Source organism: Homo sapiens, chromosome 2, assembly GCF_000001405.40.
Source record: "Homo sapiens chromosome 2, GRCh38.p14 Primary Assembly".
Taxonomy (NCBI): domain Eukaryota; kingdom Metazoa; phylum Chordata; class Mammalia; order Primates; family Hominidae; genus Homo; species Homo sapiens.
Genome location: NC_000002.12, coordinates 218,798,692 through 218,816,560, shown reverse-complemented (window position 1 = coordinate 218,816,560; position 17,869 = coordinate 218,798,692). Strand labels below are relative to the sequence as shown.

Below are 17,869 nucleotides of genomic sequence, written 5' to 3'. Positions count from 1 at the left end.
TTGACCTGAGGGCTGAGGGCAGTTGTGGAGTATTTTAATCCGGGCAATGACACAATTTTTTAAATGAGTTCAAACCCTATCATTCCCACAGGCCTGAGAAAGTGAACTTTAGGTTGTCGCAGTGGCTCACGCCTGTAATCCCAGCACTTCAGGAGACCAAGGCAGGCAGATCCCTTGAGCTCCGGAGTTCAAGACCAGCCTGGCCAACATGGCAAAACCCCATCTCTACAAAAAAAATACAAAAATTAGCCAGGCGAGGTGGTGCGTGCCTGTAGTTCCAGCTACTCGGGAGGCTAAAGTGGGAGAATCGCTTGAGCCTGGGTTAAGGAGGCAGTGAGCCAAGATGGTGCCACTGCACTCCAGTCTGGGTGACAGAATGAAACGCTGTCTCAAAAAATCAAATTAATTTTTAAAAAAGAAAGTGAACTTCATTTTTTTCTATGACTCCACCAAAATTTACTGCTGGGGCTTGGACTCTGAATTTCCAGGCTAGTGCTGTGATGCACTGGCGGCTCTCAATGGCAACCCACTTTCCTTCAAGTGGGCTTCTTGTTGCAAGGAGGCTGGACAGTTAAAAGCTATAATCCCTAGGCTCCCTTACAGCTAGTGCTCCAGGCAGGACTTAGGTTCCTCCTCTCAGCTGTATGTGAGAGATGTGAAAGGTGGAAGAGAGGTAGAAGCTCCTGCCCTTTCTGCTGTCAGGAGCAGTCGCGAGGCATTTGCAGAGGTCCAAGTCCAGTTACTGCTGGCTTCATGGGTATTGAGAGACAGGATGGGGGTCATCCTGCGTGACCTGTTTTGTTTTGTTTTGCCGGCACAGACCTACTTGAACTTCATTGACATGGAGTAGCTCTAGAGCCAATAGTTGTAGCAATAGCTTCTAGACTCTCATCCTCCTGATTGTGGCCAACATGGTGCTCCCCAAGCTGCTCAGTGCCTGCTGGAGGTCAACTCTAGCCTGGTCTCGAGCACCTCCAATAATTTTTGTAGCACCCCATTGCCTGTATCTGCTTTTTCTGTTCAAAGAGGGTGGTTTATATTCTCTACAACCGCAGCTTGACTGACACAGTGCTTGGGAGTCACTGCAGTTCCTGCTTGGTGTGGCCTCAACCAGTGCCTCGTGAAACCAAGGCCTCTCTGTGAGGTCTGGGAAAGCAAAAGGTGTTCTCAGTTTCCAAGGACAGGGGCGGCTGTGCCTCTCACCGTGACTCACTGGAGGAGAGGAATTCCCTCAGATGCTGGGTAGTCAAAAAGAATGACAAAGGTCTCCAATAAGAAATAAAAGTCCCTTTATTTTATATTCTACCCAAGGACAGCAATGCGATAAAGGGGTGGCCTTTTAGCTGAGAGGGAGTTGCTCAAAAATGATAGAAGTGGCAAAAGCTCAGGGTGTGTGCAAGGAGTTCCTCCCACCTCTCGAGTCTGGCGGCCTCCTTCTCTCCCTCCTCATCTGAGACATGGCAGCAGCCAGGAACCACTGTGCCAGAGCTGGAGCCTCTAGGACAAGCCCCAGCAAGGCGGAGACTCAGCTCAGCACTGTCTCTGCAGGAACTGCAGGCCCACTTTCTTATTGGGAACCAGGACAATGCGGGCCACACTCTTCAACTCCCCCGTCTCCGGGGCCAGGACCACCTTGTACTTCTGGATCAGCTGGGGGGTAAAGAGCACATGTGGTTGGGTGGATTGTGTGTTTGCCATCCACTCCCCGCTCTGCACACTCCTACCCTGTGCCTCCCTTCCTCTCCTCCCAGGACTCCTCCACCCCTCCCTGCCCACACACCCTACTAGCCTCTCCCAGCTCACCCTTGCGAGGAGTAGCTGCATCTCCAGCTCTGCAATCCTGCGGCCCAGGCAGGCCCGGACCCCATAGCCAAAGGGCACAGAGCCAAATGGGTGCTGGATCCTGGGGGTAGCAGGCTGGCTGTTTCTCAGCCAGCGGTGGGGCTGGAAGCTTTCAGGCTCAGAGAAGGCAGTGGGGTCCCGGGACACCACATAGTGGCAGAACACAAACTGGGTCTATAAAGGAAGATTGGGCAGCATGAATGCCTCTCTTCGGGGGCATAGGGCACTCCTGGGCAATCGGGCTCTCTAGCCCCACTCACGTTCTTGGGGAAGAGGAAGCCATCAACTTCAATTTCCTTTTCTATGATCCGGGAGTTTGTGGGGACCACAGGGTAGAGACTGCAGGGAAAAGAATGTCTGGAGTCTGCTCTGGATTCATGGGGGTACAAAGTGCCCCACTCCTTCTCCCCTACCTCTCCCATCTCATCCTTGTCACTAGCCCCAGCCCACCTGTCTTCACTTCAGATTTCCTCCTCTGATTCCCTCCCCACAAAGAGATCCTGTGCCCCCCAGAACAGCATTCTGTCCTACCGCAGAGTCTCCTTAAGCACAGCTTTGAGCAACGGCATGTGGGCAAAGTCCTTGTGCTGGGGCACTTGCCCGGCTGGCACCACACCCACCACTTCCTCGTGCAAGGCCTCCTGGATCTCAGGGTCCTTTGAGAGGTGGTACAGGGCCCATGTCAGCGTGTTGGATGTCTAGAAGATAGAGTGGGAGATCAGGTGAGGGCGATTTCTAGGAAAGAGGCCAGTAATGGGAGGGTGTATGAGTGGGTGTATGCAAAATGTGGGAGAAATGAATTTGCCACTAGCCTAGCAGGAAAAAACATGCAGGTTCATGGCAGTCTCCATGCTAAACATGAATCCACAGTGGGATGAGGGCCGATATGATGAAGAATCGCACCTTCAGTGGAGGAGGGGACGGCAACACAGAGAAACCCAACAGGATGAAAGCACTGGAAATAGGAACCATAAAGAAAGAAGGTGCTGGCTGGACACAATGGCTCATGCCTATAATCCCGGTACTTTGAGAGGCCGAGGCAGGCAGATCATTTGAGGTCAGGAGTTCGAGACTAGCCTGACCAACATGGTGAAACCCCCGTCTCTACTAAAATTTAAAGAAAAAAAAAGCTGGGCATGGTGGTGCACAACTGTAATCCCAGCTACCTGGGAGGCTGAGGCAGGAGAATTGCTTGCACCCAGGAGGCAGAGGTTGCAGTCAGCTGAGATCAAGCCACTGCACTCAAGCCTGGGCAACAGAGTGAGACTCCATCTTAAAAAAAACAAAAAAGAAAGAAAGTGCTTGTGAATGAGCTCTTCCAACTCTCCATTCAAATTGCAGCAAGAGAGTTGGATAGATGGGAGATGTACTTCCCAGCTGTCAGAGAGAGTGAGGAGGCTCCAGGAGGTGATGGCATCCTTCTTACAAAAGGACCATCCCCTGTCCTCCCACCTCGGCTAAGCTGAGCAAGCCCTCTATTTTCCTTCTAGGGCTGTATCCATGTTACAGAAAAAGAAGCAGGTCCTTGGAGGGATGAAGGTCGGGATCAGGTGAGGGATAATAGGGAACTGGTTCAGGTTGGGAGCTGGGGGCCCCTGGTCTCACCCTCCCCCTTCACGCACCGTGTCCACTCCAGCCATGAGCAGCTCAGGCAGGCTGCCCATGGCCTCCCGAGGACTGAGCTGTCCACTGGCCAGTAAGAAGTGCAGGTAGCCAGACACCTGGATGCCATCTGGCCCTGCTGCCTGCAGTTGGGCCTCCATATCTTCGAGCTTCTCATCAATCAGCTTCTTCCCTGTGAAAGCAACAGAGAAGAGGAAAGGACAAAGCCAAAAGTCATGATCTCCAAGGACCAAGAGCCACTCCGACAACTGGTAGCATGAGGGAAAAGGCCTGGGAGAGACCGCTGATGCACAGACCTGGAGTCACCCCCATCTCTCTTCCCTGGGCCCCATCTGGGAGTCCTCACCAAAGGAAAAGATGGCATTCCAACCATCCAGGTATCGCTTCCAGAAAGGCAGCACGGGGCGAGTCCACTTGGGGAGGAAGGTGGCATAGAGTGAGTTCTGGAACATTAACCCGATGGATCTGACGAAGGTCACGGTGTCCTCGGGGATGGATCGCTGCAGGCAGCCAATGCGTTTCTCGAACAGGATGTAGCAAATAGCTGAGTAGTGCACAGAGGCCATCACAGGAGGCAGAACCAGGACATATGGAATCCAGGAGCCCTTGAGGAGAGGGAGCACAACCTCTCCCTGACCCATTCCCTTCCCCAGCCCCTCTCCCAGCAAGGGTACCTTCCAAGGCAAAGTAGTAGAAGAGTTGAGCCATGTCCGACACCTGGTTCCCCGAAGCACTCTCTGCCCGCAGCTGGTCCAGTCGAGTCATAAAGTCATCAATCACCTCATTGAAAGCATCCGTATAGAGCGCTGCTTCCGCTGGCTTCAGCAACCGCTGGTTCAGAGCCTGGCGCAGCTGGTACCAGTGGTGTCCTTCCCTGCAGGGACGCAGAGGAACAGCACAAAGATAAGCCTCTATGGGGGTTCAATTAAGGGAGATCTTCTCACCCTGAAGTCCACCACCCCCTCCATCCAGAGTCAAGGGAAATCCCATACTCCTAGAATTTAGAATTATAGAATCACCAAAATCTCAAGTGACAGAATCTTAGAATCCCCAAACCAGAATCTCGCTATAGCAGAGTGGAAGTGGGTATGGCGGGCATCTAGAACCAGACTGTCTAGGGTCAAATCACAGGTCTGACCACTCCTGGCAGAGGGACCCTAGGTGGGTAACTCCTGTGTGCCTCAGTTTCCCTTTCTATAAAATGGGGATAATAAGAGTGCCTATCTGAGTAGGCTCGTTCACATCATTCAAGTGCTTAGCTCAGTGCCTGGTACATAATGAATGCTTAGTGAATATTGACTGATTATCTTGGAATTATACAGCTCTGGAATCTTCCATATGTCAAATAAGGGGGAGCTGCAGAGGCTGAGGAATAAAGGAGGACCAAGTTAGGGTTCCCGGAGTGCTCAGGCTCTAAGCCTTCATGCTCTGCTTGGCTCAGTGGGTCAGAGGGACAGGGAGGCCCACGAGGCTGATGCTGTAGGCTCTTGCCTCAGTCATGCGGTAGATGGTCAGGCCCCCTCCCTGGTTAGGCAAGGTAGGTGGTCAGGCCTCCTCCTTGGTTAGGCAAGGGTGCTCACGTGGGTGGAAACATACTTTCCATAAGCAAGATTAATGTCCAGGGACTGCCCCCACTCCCAGCTGTTCCTCAAACCTATTTCCTTTCCTAAGCAAGCTGGGTATGAGTCCATTTTTTTAAAAGGCTAGCTGTAGAGCAATAAGTACAATATGGTCCAATTTTAAGAGGAGACAAAATCCTACCTATCCACATGTATATTTGCATGCTCCTGGATAAAGAGGGGAGAATACACAACAAACTGTCAGTACTGGTTGCTAAGGAGGATGCAATAGGGGTGGAAGGGCAAGAGACTTCATATTTTATTATTGGAATTTCCACGGTGAGTATTACTTTTGAATTTTTAAAACCAATAAAGTTGTATTTTTGTTTGTTTTGTTTTGTTTTGTTTGAGACAGAGTCTCGCTCTGTCACCCACTCAGCTCACTGCAACCTCCACCTCCCAGGTTCAAGCGATTCTCCTGCCTCAGCCTCCTGAGTAGCTGGGACTACAGGTGCATGCCACCACACCCAGCTAATTTTTTGTATTTTTTTTTAGTAGAGTCGGGGTTTCACCGTGTTAGCCAGGATGGTCTTGATCTCCTGACCTCATGATCCGCCCACCTTGGCCTCCCAAAGTGCTGGGATTACAGGCGTGAGCCACCGCACCCAGTCAAATTTTTTTTAATATATATTTTTTCTTTAATGACCTTCAACACCCCACCCCAGGAGCTGCCTTTATTATGTTAAGGGAAAATTGCAAAAAGATAAACTGAAAGTGTTGCTGAAAAAGAAATGAAAACCAGAATAGACCTATTTGTTGGGACTTCACGTTGTTCCAAAAGTAAAACTCTCTCAACAGTAGGAATCGGATATACAGAACTTAAACGTGGTTGTTAAAAAATCACTTGGAGGAAACAATGCTTCATAAAATGATATTTTAAAAATATATATGTTAAAACAAAAATTTGAGAACCCCAAACTTATCATGAGTTAGCAGAATAGCTTTTTTTCCCCAGTCATCTGACTCAAAGATTCACAAAAGAGCTTTTAAATGCATGCATATGATATCATCTATTCAGGAAACTGGCTTTAGAGAAAAAAATGTAAATAGATTACAAAGGGCTCTACATAATGTTTAGCTCCGATTCTAAATCTGAGCTGTCATGTCATAGGTGGCCTGGCCCAGTGAAAACCTGCAACCTAAATCTTACCCTCAGTGGCAGATGTCAAGTTAAAAAGTTTTTTTTTTTTTCTTTTTTGAGATGGAGTCTCACTCTGTTGCCCAGGCTGGAGTGCAGTGGCATGATCTCGGCTCACTGCAACCTCCACCTCCTGGGTTCAAACGATCCTCCTGCCTCAGCCTCCCAAGTAGCTGGGATTACAGGTGCCCACCACCACACCTGGCTAATTTTTGTGTTTTTAGTAGAGACGGGGTTTCACCGTGTTGGCCAAGCTGATCTCGAACCCCTGAACTCAAGTGATCCGCCCACCTCAGCCTCCCAAAGTGCTGGGATTACAGGTGTGGTTTTTGCCATAATTTTAAATGGTGAAAACCACAATGACTTTTGCACCAACCTAATATTTATTAGTGGAGAGCCAATGAATGGTCCCTGGGCTTCAGCACCTCCCAACAACTGCTCTCTAGACCATCAGGCTCAGAGGATGCAGAGGGTACTATTCTGCCGGTTATCCACCTGCCTGCCCTGTGCCCACTGTCTTTCGCCCTGGCCCTCTGGGGCCCTGTTCCAGTCCCTTCAGGCCCCAGCTCACGTGGTGAACGGCCCATAGGTCAGGTCGTGCTGGTCCCGGTGCTCCTTCCATAGCTCCATGTCGTTCCGTACTGGGTACTTGCCCTCTTGCCGCATCACTTGCTCCAAGAGCGGGGCACTGGCCAGGTTCACGTGCATCTGAGGCCCTAAGTAGGACATCCACATTGGACCGTACTTGGCCTTGTAAAGCACCTGTGGAGTTCAATCAAAACTGAATAACTGGGCCAAGCTGGGCAGGTGCTCCCAGGACAGGAGATGAGGTGAGGAAGGGTCTGATGGCTACACAAGAGCAAATGAGCTGGGCAAAAAAAAAAAAAAAAAAAAAAGGGCATTGTGTATGATGTAGGCACCAGGATGGCCTGTTGTTCCAGAGGAAGAGCAAATTTAAAAAATGGGCACACAAGGAGCTAGAATATTAGAGCAATGCGTGTCTGGTGGAACTGGAGGCATTGAGGTCCTTGGAGGAGTGAAAGTTTGGAAAAATGGGCTATATGGCAAACTGAGGTACGTTGAGGTGTATGTTGGAGGCCAGCATTTGAGGGAAACTGAGCCCTTTAGTGAGGTGAGATAGAAAGCCTATAGCTCCTTTTTTTGTATTTAAATCTACTGCAGCTTGCTGTCAATGAAATGATGAATGCCTTATGTAATCAACAAGAAAAAAGAAGACTGATGAGAAAACAGAAAAAACAATAAGCTGGATGAGAAAGTCAGGGTCCAAAAATAAGTAAGTAAGCCATGCGGTATGATATTTATTTATTTATTTATTTCCCATGAGTTTCCTGAGCTTCCATATGATTTTGTCTTTGAAATCTAAGAACATGACAAAAAAAGAAATAAAAAAAAGTACTGGCCATGTTATGTAATATAATTCTCAAATATTTTATCTTAGAATTTCTAAAGCACTTGACGATAGATATCCACGGCCTCTATGAAATTGACATTGCTATGATAGTCTTATAGTTGCTGAAAATGAGAAGGAAAAGAAACACGTTTTGGGGGGTAAAAATTTAAAATAACCCACAAATCCTAAGACTATATTTCCTAGGTAAGTTACACCTACAAACTGAAAGAAAATGAAACACAGTGGTTTCCTGGGCACTTCATCTTTCCTAATCAGTTACTGAAGAGATTTTGAGAGGATCAGAATCGGTTCCAGTATAGAAATTAGGCCAAAGACCTTCTATAAAAGAGACATTACCAATTGTGGAGATGAAATCTATCATTCAAATTACAGAAGGAAACGTCACCCAACCCATAGTCCAGAAAAACTCCAACTTTACTGGATCTTAGTTTTGGTGTTAAAAACTGGATTCTCCTAGGACCAATCCAACATAATTGCCTCCAATATATCACCCATATACCCAGACATCACCTTGAACAAATGGCTGATTCTGCCAGTTCCTGGAAGGACAGTCTTGACAAACCCCTAACATCCATTTAGACCTGTTTCCCATTTCTACCTCCCAGGAACACCTGCCAGTGTGTTCTAATTTTGAACAGCTGATCGTCTGCAAACTGCAGTGAATATGCCTATTTTCCTGGAAGGAAAATATACTGCTGGTAGGACTCCAAAATAACACATCCCTACTTGGAGGACGATTTGTTAATATTTACAAAAGTACGAGCAAATTTATAAACAAAGCATGAGATATCCACATAATGAAATACTATGTCACCTTAAAAAGGGATGAAGAAATTCCTTGTGTACTAATACAGAAAGATATCCAAGATAGATTATGTGAAAAAGTATATCTTTTGCCTAAGAAAGGAGGTCTAAAATAAGAATATATAGTATTTGTATTTGCTTTCATAGAAAAATACTGGATGGATACATAAGAAACTAGTGAAAGTGATTACTGGACCGGGCATGGTGACTCACCCCTATAATCCCAGCACTTTGGGAGGCCAAGGCTGGAGGATCACTTGAGCTAAGGAGTTTGAGATCAGCCTTGGCAACATGGCAAAACCCTGCCTCTACAAAAAAAAAAAAAAATTCGCTGGGCATGGCAGTGTGCGCCTGTGATTCCAGCTACTCGGAGGCTGAGGTGGGAGAATTGCTTGAAGTCAAAGCTGCATTGAGCCATGACTGTACCCACTGCACTCCAGCCTAGATGACAGAGTGAGACTCTGTCTCTAAATAAATAAATATAAAGTGATTACTATGGGAGGGTCAGGGGAGCAGCGGAGGGGGTCAGACTGCTTAGTGTGTATCATGTTCTATTGTTTGAGTCTTGAACTATGATAATGTATTACCTATTCAAATTTTTAAAGTCTAAAGGTACAAAAAGAAATGTTTTCTGAAACAGTAAGTCACCTGACATTGACCAGATAGTTCTAGAAGGCAGGGAATCCTTGCTGAGCCTCTGAATTCCTGTAAATACTCCTTAGATTTATAAGTGCCCCAGCCATATCATTTTCCTGTGAGTGAGTTTTGTTTTTTTCCTTAAAGGTTGCTTTTTAAAAAATACTTTACATACACATCTATTTTCCTCTATTAAATTCCCTAGGAGGGCCGGGCACAGTGGCTCACGCCTGTAATCCCAGCACTTTGGGAGGCTGAGGTGGGCAAATCACAAGGTCAAGAGTTCGAGACCAACCTGGCCAACATGGTGAAACGCCGTCTCTACTAAAAATACAAAAAATTAGCTGGGCATGTTGGTGGGCGCCTGTAATCCCAGCTACTTGGGAGGCTGAGGCAGGAGAATCGCTTGAACCCGGGAGGAGGAGGAGGTTACAGTGAGCCAAGATCATGCCACTGCACTCCAGCCTGGGTGGCAATGTGAGACTCCATCTCAAAAAAAAAAAAAAAAAAAAAAATTCCCTAGGAGACCTGTCCTAAAAGTAGGCTTAATTTGTTTCCAGTTTAAGACATTAACAATAATAATTGCACGTGTTTCCATAGAGCTGACCATGAACCAGACACTGTTCCAAGAATTTTACTTATATTAGCTCATTCAATCCTCACTACAGCTGTTTGGGGTAGGTTTAATATTACCACAATTTTGCCGATGAGGAAACTGAGGCCCAAAGAAGTTGCTCAAGGTCACTTTATCATTAAGTAGCAGAGTCAGGATTCAAACTCCAAACACCTGGCTGGAGGCCATGCTCTGAACCACTTACTCCACGGATCCCTGAGAAAACAACTATGTCCTTCTAACTGGAAACAAACGTAGGCCCTTGAAAAGCGTGTACTATTTTAAAACCACAATATTATGCAATAACAACCCAGGATTACTCAACTGTGGCACTGTTAATACTCGGAGTGGATAATTCTATGTTGTAGCCGACAGTGGTGTGCGTTGCCGGGTGCCTAGCAGCATTCCTGGCCTCTCCCCACAAGTACCGCACCCCCTCTGAGTTGTGGCTACCACAGATGTCTCTAGACATTTCCAAAATGTCCCCTGGGGGATGAAATCACCATAGATTGAGAACTACTGCAATAAGTCCAGCCTCTTAATATGTCTCCTAATTCTTTAATTTTAGAAGACCTGTTTAAAACAAATATATACCATTTTGAAGAAATATTTTTCTAAAGTTTGGTTTCTTATCCTTCTGTTAAGTTGAAGTAAACTTATGTATAACATTTTAATAAAAATCTGAACAGCAGTTATCTCAATGGTGGTAAACAGTGCTTTACAAATTAACTTACTTTCTTCTCTATACTGTGATTTATTTTTCAAAAATTTTTTGCCACGTTCTTGGAATCAGCAGAAAAAAAGTTATATTTTTAAAGTAGAAAAACAATACCAGCTTCTTTCCTGGAATCCAAAGCCTCTGAGACTACTTCCTGGCTGTCAGTATGGAGGTTTCTGGGACATTTCTCCTTTTAGCTAAGCCATGCCTTCTTCCTTCATGCTCCTCAGTTAGTTTACTTAGTGGAACTTAACAAGGATCTACTTATGTAAGAAGTTATTTTAGAAAGACAGCAGGATACTTGCTGAGAGATGCGTGCTGTGTCTGTGATCCTACCATTAGATCGTAACCTGAGCCAGTTGGAAAGTCCCAGCATTCTCGGATGGGTCCTGTCTAAGAGCCACTTTGCAGAACAAAGATCATCTTTCAGGATGAATGGGAGGGTTAGCCCCCACCTGACAAAACTCCAAAGCAGGAGAATGTTGAATTCATTCAACATTCATTTATGAATCTCATGTCCTGTTCCTCCTAGGGATACAGCAGTAAGCACAGCATAAAAGACCATTCTTAAGGAGTTCTTATCCTAGTGCATGGGCCAGACAGTTGAGAATTTGATTACATATGTTCCTAAACAGTTTTCTAATTATTTTGCGGATGTCTTGTCTCTTCAACTAAATTGAAAATCCTCATGGGTGAAAACCATGTCATACTTCTTTATGACATCCCAAATTGTTGGGCACACTGCTAAGCACATTAATAAGACACTCAGTACATACTTAACAGTTGTCAATGAATCCAGCAGAAAGAAACATGTTGCAGACAATGCAAAGAACATGAGAGAGACAGAGACAGACATAGAAAGGGGGTGGGGAAGAGGATACGTAGGAAACTTGTTAACAGTAGCTCGTCTAGAGTTTTAAGAACCTGGAAGAACAATCTGAAAGGAAATTAAGAAAATAATTCCATTTACAATAACCTCTGTTTTGGACTGAATGTCTGCACTCCCCTCAAATTCTTATGTTGAAACCCTAAACCCCGTGTTGCTGCATTTGTTGATGGGGCCTCTAAGGAAGTAACTAAGGTTAAATGGGGTCATAAGGGTGGGGCCCTGATCTGATAGAATTAGTGTCTTCATAATAGGAGACACCAGAGAGCTTGCCCTCTAGGGCACAGGAAGAAGGCAGCCAACTACAAGCCAGGAAGACAGCCCTCATCAGAAACCAACCACTGGCACCCTGATCTCTCACTTCTAGCCTACAGAACTGTGAGAAAATAAATTTGTTGTTTAAGCCATCCAGTCTGTGGTATTTTGTTATGGCAGCCCAAACAGACTAATGATAGTATCCAAAAGATAAAATACCTAGGAATACTTTTAACCAAGGAGGTGAAACATTTGAACACTGAAAACTACTAGACACTGCTGAAGGAAATTAAAGACCTAAATAAGTGGAAAGTCATCCATGTTCATGGATTAGGAGACTTAATATTGTTAAAACAGCAGTACTCCCCAAGGCAAACTACAAATTCAATGCATTCCCTTTCAAAATTCCATAGCCTTTTTGCAGAAATGGAAAACCTGATCCTAAAATTAATATGGAACTGCAAGGGGCCCTAAATAGCCAAAACAATATTAAAAAAGAAAACAATGTTGGAACATTCCCATTTTCTGATTTCAAAACTTACTGCAAAGCTACAGTAATCAAAACAGTAAGTTACTAGTGTAAGTGTAGACATATAGACCAATGGAATACAACTGAGAATTCAGAAATACACTAGAACATCTACAGTCAACTGATTTTTGACAAGGGTGCACAGACCATTCAATGGGGAAAGAAAGTCTCTTCAACAAATGGTACTGGGACCACTGGATAACTAAATGCAAAAGAATGAAGCTGGACCCCTACCTCACTCCATATACAAAAATTAATTCAAAATGGATCAACAATCTAAAAAGAAGAGCTAAAACTATAAAACTCTGAATAAAATATAAGGGTAAGTCTTCATGACCCTGGATATGTCAATGAATTCTTAGATTTGATAACAAATGCATGAGGAATTTTTTTTAAATAGATAAATAGTTCTTCATAAAAATTAAAAACTTTTGGCCAGGCATGGTGGCTCACACCTGTAATCCCAGCACTTTGGGAGGCCGAGGTGGGCAGATTACCTGAGGTCAGGAATTCAAGACTAGCCTGGCCAACATGGTGAAACCCCATCTCTACTAAAAATACAAAAATTAGGCAGGTGTGGTGGCGCATGCTTGTAGTCCCAGCTACTCGGGAGGCTGAGGCAGGAGAATCACTTGAACCCGGGAGGTGGAGGCTGCAGTGAGCTGAGATTGCACCAATACGCTCCAGCCTGAGCAACAGAGTAAAACTCCCATCTAAAAAAAAAAAAAAAAAAAAAAAAAAAAGACGGGGGCACGGTGGCTCACACCTGTAATCCCAGCACTTTGAGAGGCCGAAGTGGACAGATCACGATGTCAAGAGATCGAGACCATCCTGGCCAACATGGCAAAACCTCTTCTCTATTAAAAATACAAAAATTAGCTGGGTGTGGTGGCGTGTGCCTGTAGTCCCAGCTACCTGGGAGGCTGAAGCAGAAGAATTGCTTGAACCTGGGAGGCAGAGGTTGCAGTGCCAAGATCGCACTACTGCACTCCAGCCTGGCAATAGAACGAGACTCGGTCTCAAAAAAGAAATTTAAAACTTTTGTGCCTCGAAGGACATTATCAAGAATGTGAAAAGACAGCTTATAGAACGAGAGAAAATATTTGTAAATCATATATCTGATAAGGGTTTAATATCCAGAGTATACAAAGAACTGTTACAACCCAACAACAAAAAGACAAATTCAGTTTAAAAATAAGCAAAGAATGGCTGGGCGTGGTGGTTCACGCCCATTATACCAGCACTTTGGGAGGCCAAGGCAGGCAGATCACTCGAGTCCAGGAGTTTGAGACCAGCAATTCAAGACCAGCCTGGCCAATATGGCAAAACCCTGTCTCTACTAAAAATACAAAAATTAGCCAGGCGTGATGGCGCACACTTGTAGTCCCAGCTACTTGGGAGGCTGAGGCATGAGAATCACTTTAACCCAAGAGGCAGAGGTTGCGGTGAGCCGAGATCAAACCACTGCACTCCAGCCTGAGTGACAGAATGAGACTCTGCCTCAAAATAAATAAATTAATTAATTAAATAAGCAAAGAACTTGAATAGACATTTCTCCAATGAAGATATGCAAATGGCCTATAATCACAAGAAAAGATGTTCAACATCATTTGTCATTAAGGAAATGCAAACCAAAGCCACTGTTAACCACAAGAAAAGATGTTCAACATCATTTGTCATTAAGGAAATGCAAACCAAAGCCACTGTTAACCACTAGAATGGCTTAAAAAGAGAGAAAAAAAGAAAATAACAGTATCAGTTCCTAGATCCTAGATAAGGGAGCAGAGGCTGGGTTTATTCTTATTTATTTGCCCTCCGAAGAAAACATCGGCTGTCTCTCTTTTCTACAGGAAATGGAGTACTATTTTTCTTCCAGCAACAAACTCGTAGTAAGCAGCCTTCTGGAAGAGTAAACAGAAATGTGAGTGCTTCCTCACTTTTGACAAGCTGCTAGAACAACGTTCCAAAAAGCAGCACAAACTCATGCATCCTGAGAATCAAAGCTCTTTGAATGAGCAAGAAATAGTAAAGACCTTATAGGAAGTAAATAAATAATTAGCAGATGGAAAAAGCATGGAGTAACAACGCAAGTAGTTCTGTTTCTTCACATCTTAACCTAGTCTTTTTTTTTTTTAATTTTCTTTTTAATTCTCAGCAAGGCAAGTTACTTCTATGGAGGGTGCACCCTTACAGATGGAGCAATGGTGAGCGCACACTTGGACAAGGGAGGGGAAGGGGTTCTTATCCGTGACGCACGTGGCCCCTGCTGCTGTGTCGTTCCCCTATTGGCTAGGGCTAGGCCGCACGGGCTAAACTAATTCCGATTGTTCTTAGCCTAGTCTTAAATAAGAGGAAACAAATAAGTGAACAAATGTCATTAAAGCAACTAGTTGATTATTTGGGGAGAAAGTATAGTTAGAACCCACATCCGTGGTCATTGCTGGCCTAAAGAGTGCCTTAAATAGGAATTAAAAAAAAAAAAAAAAGCCTGCTAGCAGCTGCAGCCCCAGCCAAAGCCCAGGGCCTGGCAAGTCAAATGCAGGCTCCATTCCTGCTCCTCATGTGACCCCTTGGTCAGGCACCTGCCTTGTGCACCTCACACCATACACAGAAACTAATCCCAGGTGGGATAAAGATTTTAAAAGAAACTACAAAAATACAAGAAGAAAATATGTATGAATACACAATTCAAAAACTCGTTAGAAAAATAGACATAAAAACAGAAATAGGGAATTTACAAAAAAAGAAATATAAATAGTATATCTATGCAGAAAATAGGTCCAATCTTACAAATAAGAACATGCAGAATATATATCATGAAGATATACCACTTTCAACTATGATATTTGCAGAGACTGTTTTTGCAAATATCATAGTTGAAAATGGTATGTCTTTGTGATATATATTCTGCATGTACTTATTTGCAAAAAATAATTGTTTTTGTTTTTTGGGTTTTTTTTGAGATGGAGTCTCACTCTGTTGCTCAGGCTGGAGTGCAGTGGCACCATGTCAGCTCACTGCAACCTCCACTTCCCAGGTTGAAGCGATTCTCCTGCCTCAGCCTCCTGAGTAGCTGGGATTACAGGTGTGCACCATCATGCCTGGCTAATTTTTTTGTATTTTAATAGAGACAGGGTTTCACCATGTTGGCCAGGCTGGTCTCGAACTCCTGACCTCACGTGATCCACTCACCTCGGCCTCCCAAAGTGCTGATATTACAAACAACGTGAGCCACCACATGTGGCCCTGTTTTTGTTTTTTGGACTGCCCTTTGTCATGCAAAACTATTTTCTTTGTAACTTTTCTGGAAGACAATTTGGCAGGTGCTACATATCAAAGATCCGAACAAAATCCTTTATCACAATGGTTCCATTTTAGGAGTTTTATTCTAAGAAAATAATTGAGAATGTACACAAACATTTAGTGCTAGATAGATTAATGTTAATCAAAGCTTTATACATAAAAAATCTAAAAGTATACCAACAGGGTCCAGTAAATTCTGATGTAGCCATCCAATGAAATGCTTTTCAGCCATTAAAAATTGTTATATAAGTGTGTTTATTGAAAAAGATATTCATATTTACTTTTCTGTAAAATGGCAAGTTACAAAAGAGAGCATATGGTATGCTTTTATTTTAAAAAACATATATATGTAGATGACATATGGGGAAAACAGATAATGCTTTCCCCATATGCTTATAACAACATATGGGTGTATTTATGTATTCATTTCACAAGCGCTTATTAAGAACCTATGGGTATAAGGCATTGTGCTATGTGATGGGTGTTGGGATTATGGAAGATTTAGATTTTCTTCTTTTTGTTTCTTTATATTTTCTCATTTCTCTAAAATATGCATACACTACTTCTGCAAGTTATTTCAATTCTAAATGGCATTTTCTATTAAATGTGGTATATAGCCACAAAATTAGCATGTAATCGTAACTCATATTTATGTGATTTTTTTAAAGGTAATTTTTATAGGAAAAGAAAGTGCTTGTCTCATGGTCATGTGTTTTTATTTATTTGTTTATTTATTTTTATTTTTTTGTGAGCCACCACACAAAATAACACTGGCTGACTTGGAGTGTCTTATCTTTATTTCTTCTACCAGGCTGCGTTACTTTGCCATAGCACCGTTAAGACCTTCCATATAAACAAAGGCTTGGACTCAGCCTTCCCTGAGCCTTGAAGACTGATTGCCCTGTGATCCTCCTGGAACACCGAAGAATGGGAGGCCCCTCCCACTCTTCACTGGCCTCCCCATCTTCCTCAGAGGTGTCCCAAGACAGCTTCTCATCACCTCTCAGGTTCTGAGATATGGACTTTCTGCCTTATTCTCCCTCAGAAAAGAGTCGCAGAACATAAAACCCCTTGGCTGCGGTCTAGCAGGAGTTTCTCAGCAATGGAGGTACCCCACAACTTGCATTGCAGTCATCTGTCTCCTTGTGTTTTGGCAAGATCTTACCCCCGTCAAGATGAACAGGACTAGGGCAGAAACCCAAGTCCCTCCTTCTCTAAGGAGGATCAGAGGCTTTATGCACTGATCAAGGTGTGCTGGGGACTTGATGGCAACCACAGTTGTCGAACCTGTTCAGCCTTTTCCGACACTGGGCACAAGTCATTGGGGCACCGAGAAATACCCATGGTTATGGTCAAAAAATTACTTTAACTGGATTTGGAAGAAACTCTCAGATTGGACAGTGGACTGATGTAATTTTGTGGATATATTAATAAGGATTCTCCAGAAAAAAAAAAGAAACAATAGGATGTATGTATATAGGGAAAGATTTATTTTACAGAATTGGCTCACATGATTATGGAGGTTGGTGTGAGGTTACCCGAGAGAAAGGAAAAATAGACTCAAAGTCAGGCAAGCAAGTTTTTGTTAACCTGCCGGCTGCCCCCTTAACAGTCAGAGAGGAAGCAGCCCCAAACTTACAGAAGGAGGGGTTTATATTGGGGAGGGGAGTTTGAGGCAGTTCTTTGGTATGGCCGCATCCCGAGGTTGTTTGCTGGTTAATTTTGCCACATATCACCGTGTGACGTTTATGGTAGCAGCTAGATGAACAGGAACTTACAGGAGGGTGTAGGTAAAGTTTGTTTATGCTTCCCATGACCTCCCCCTGTGCCGTCTGGATGGTTTGTAATTGGGGTTTCCTTATCACAGCAAGGTCTGATAAGTGAAGTCTGCTGGCTTCACCGCGGCGTCTAGATAAGGGCTTAGAAACATAAAGAGGCTTGGGGGAAGGGTGGGCAGCATGGAGAAGAGTTGCAGAGCATTAGGGGGAGGGGTGGGCAGCACCAAGAAACTTTTTGGGGCAGTTTGTCCCTAACAGTTGGCAAGTATAAAATCTGCAGCACAGGCTGGCAGGCTGGAAATTCCAACAGAGGTCAATAATCCAATCTTGAATCTGAAGGTGGCCTGGAGGCAGATTCATTCCCCTTCTAGGGACTTCAGTCTTTTTGCACAAGGCCTTCCACTGCTTGAACAAGGCCCACCTACATTACGGAGGGTAATCTGCTTTACTCAAAGTCTACCAATTTCATGGGTTTGTTTGTTTGTTTGTTTGTTTGTTTTTTGAGATCAAGTCTCGCTCTGTCACCCAGGCTGGACTGCAGTGGCACAATCTCAGCTCACTACAATTTCCGCCTCCCGGGTTCAAGCAATTCTCATCTCTCAGCCTCCCAAATACCTGGGATTACAGGCATATGCCACCACGTCCAGCTAATTTTTGTGTTTTTAGTAGAGACAGGGTTTCGCCATGTTGCCC

At 44.4% G+C, this 17,869-nt stretch overlaps 1 protein-coding gene across 1 annotated transcript in view; it reads right to left on the bottom strand.

Moving 5' to 3' along the window:
- Nucleotides 1,268-17,869, bottom strand: part of CYP27A1 (cytochrome P450 family 27 subfamily A member 1) — a 33,147-nt gene continuing 16,545 nt past the window's right edge. The window contains exons 2-9 of the mRNA NM_000784.4: nucleotides 6,794-6,984; nucleotides 4,140-4,339; nucleotides 3,812-4,009; nucleotides 3,465-3,637; nucleotides 2,374-2,540; nucleotides 2,103-2,181; nucleotides 1,804-2,016; nucleotides 1,268-1,650 (exon numbers count right to left, since the gene is read on the bottom strand). Of these exons, the coding sequence (NP_000775.1) occupies nucleotides 1,531-1,650; nucleotides 1,804-2,016; nucleotides 2,103-2,181; nucleotides 2,374-2,540; nucleotides 3,465-3,637; nucleotides 3,812-4,009; nucleotides 4,140-4,339; nucleotides 6,794-6,984 (1,341 nt within the window). The 3' untranslated portion in view covers nucleotides 1,268-1,530. The remainder of the gene's footprint in view (nucleotides 1,651-1,803; nucleotides 2,017-2,102; nucleotides 2,182-2,373; nucleotides 2,541-3,464; nucleotides 3,638-3,811; nucleotides 4,010-4,139; nucleotides 4,340-6,793; nucleotides 6,985-17,869) is intronic.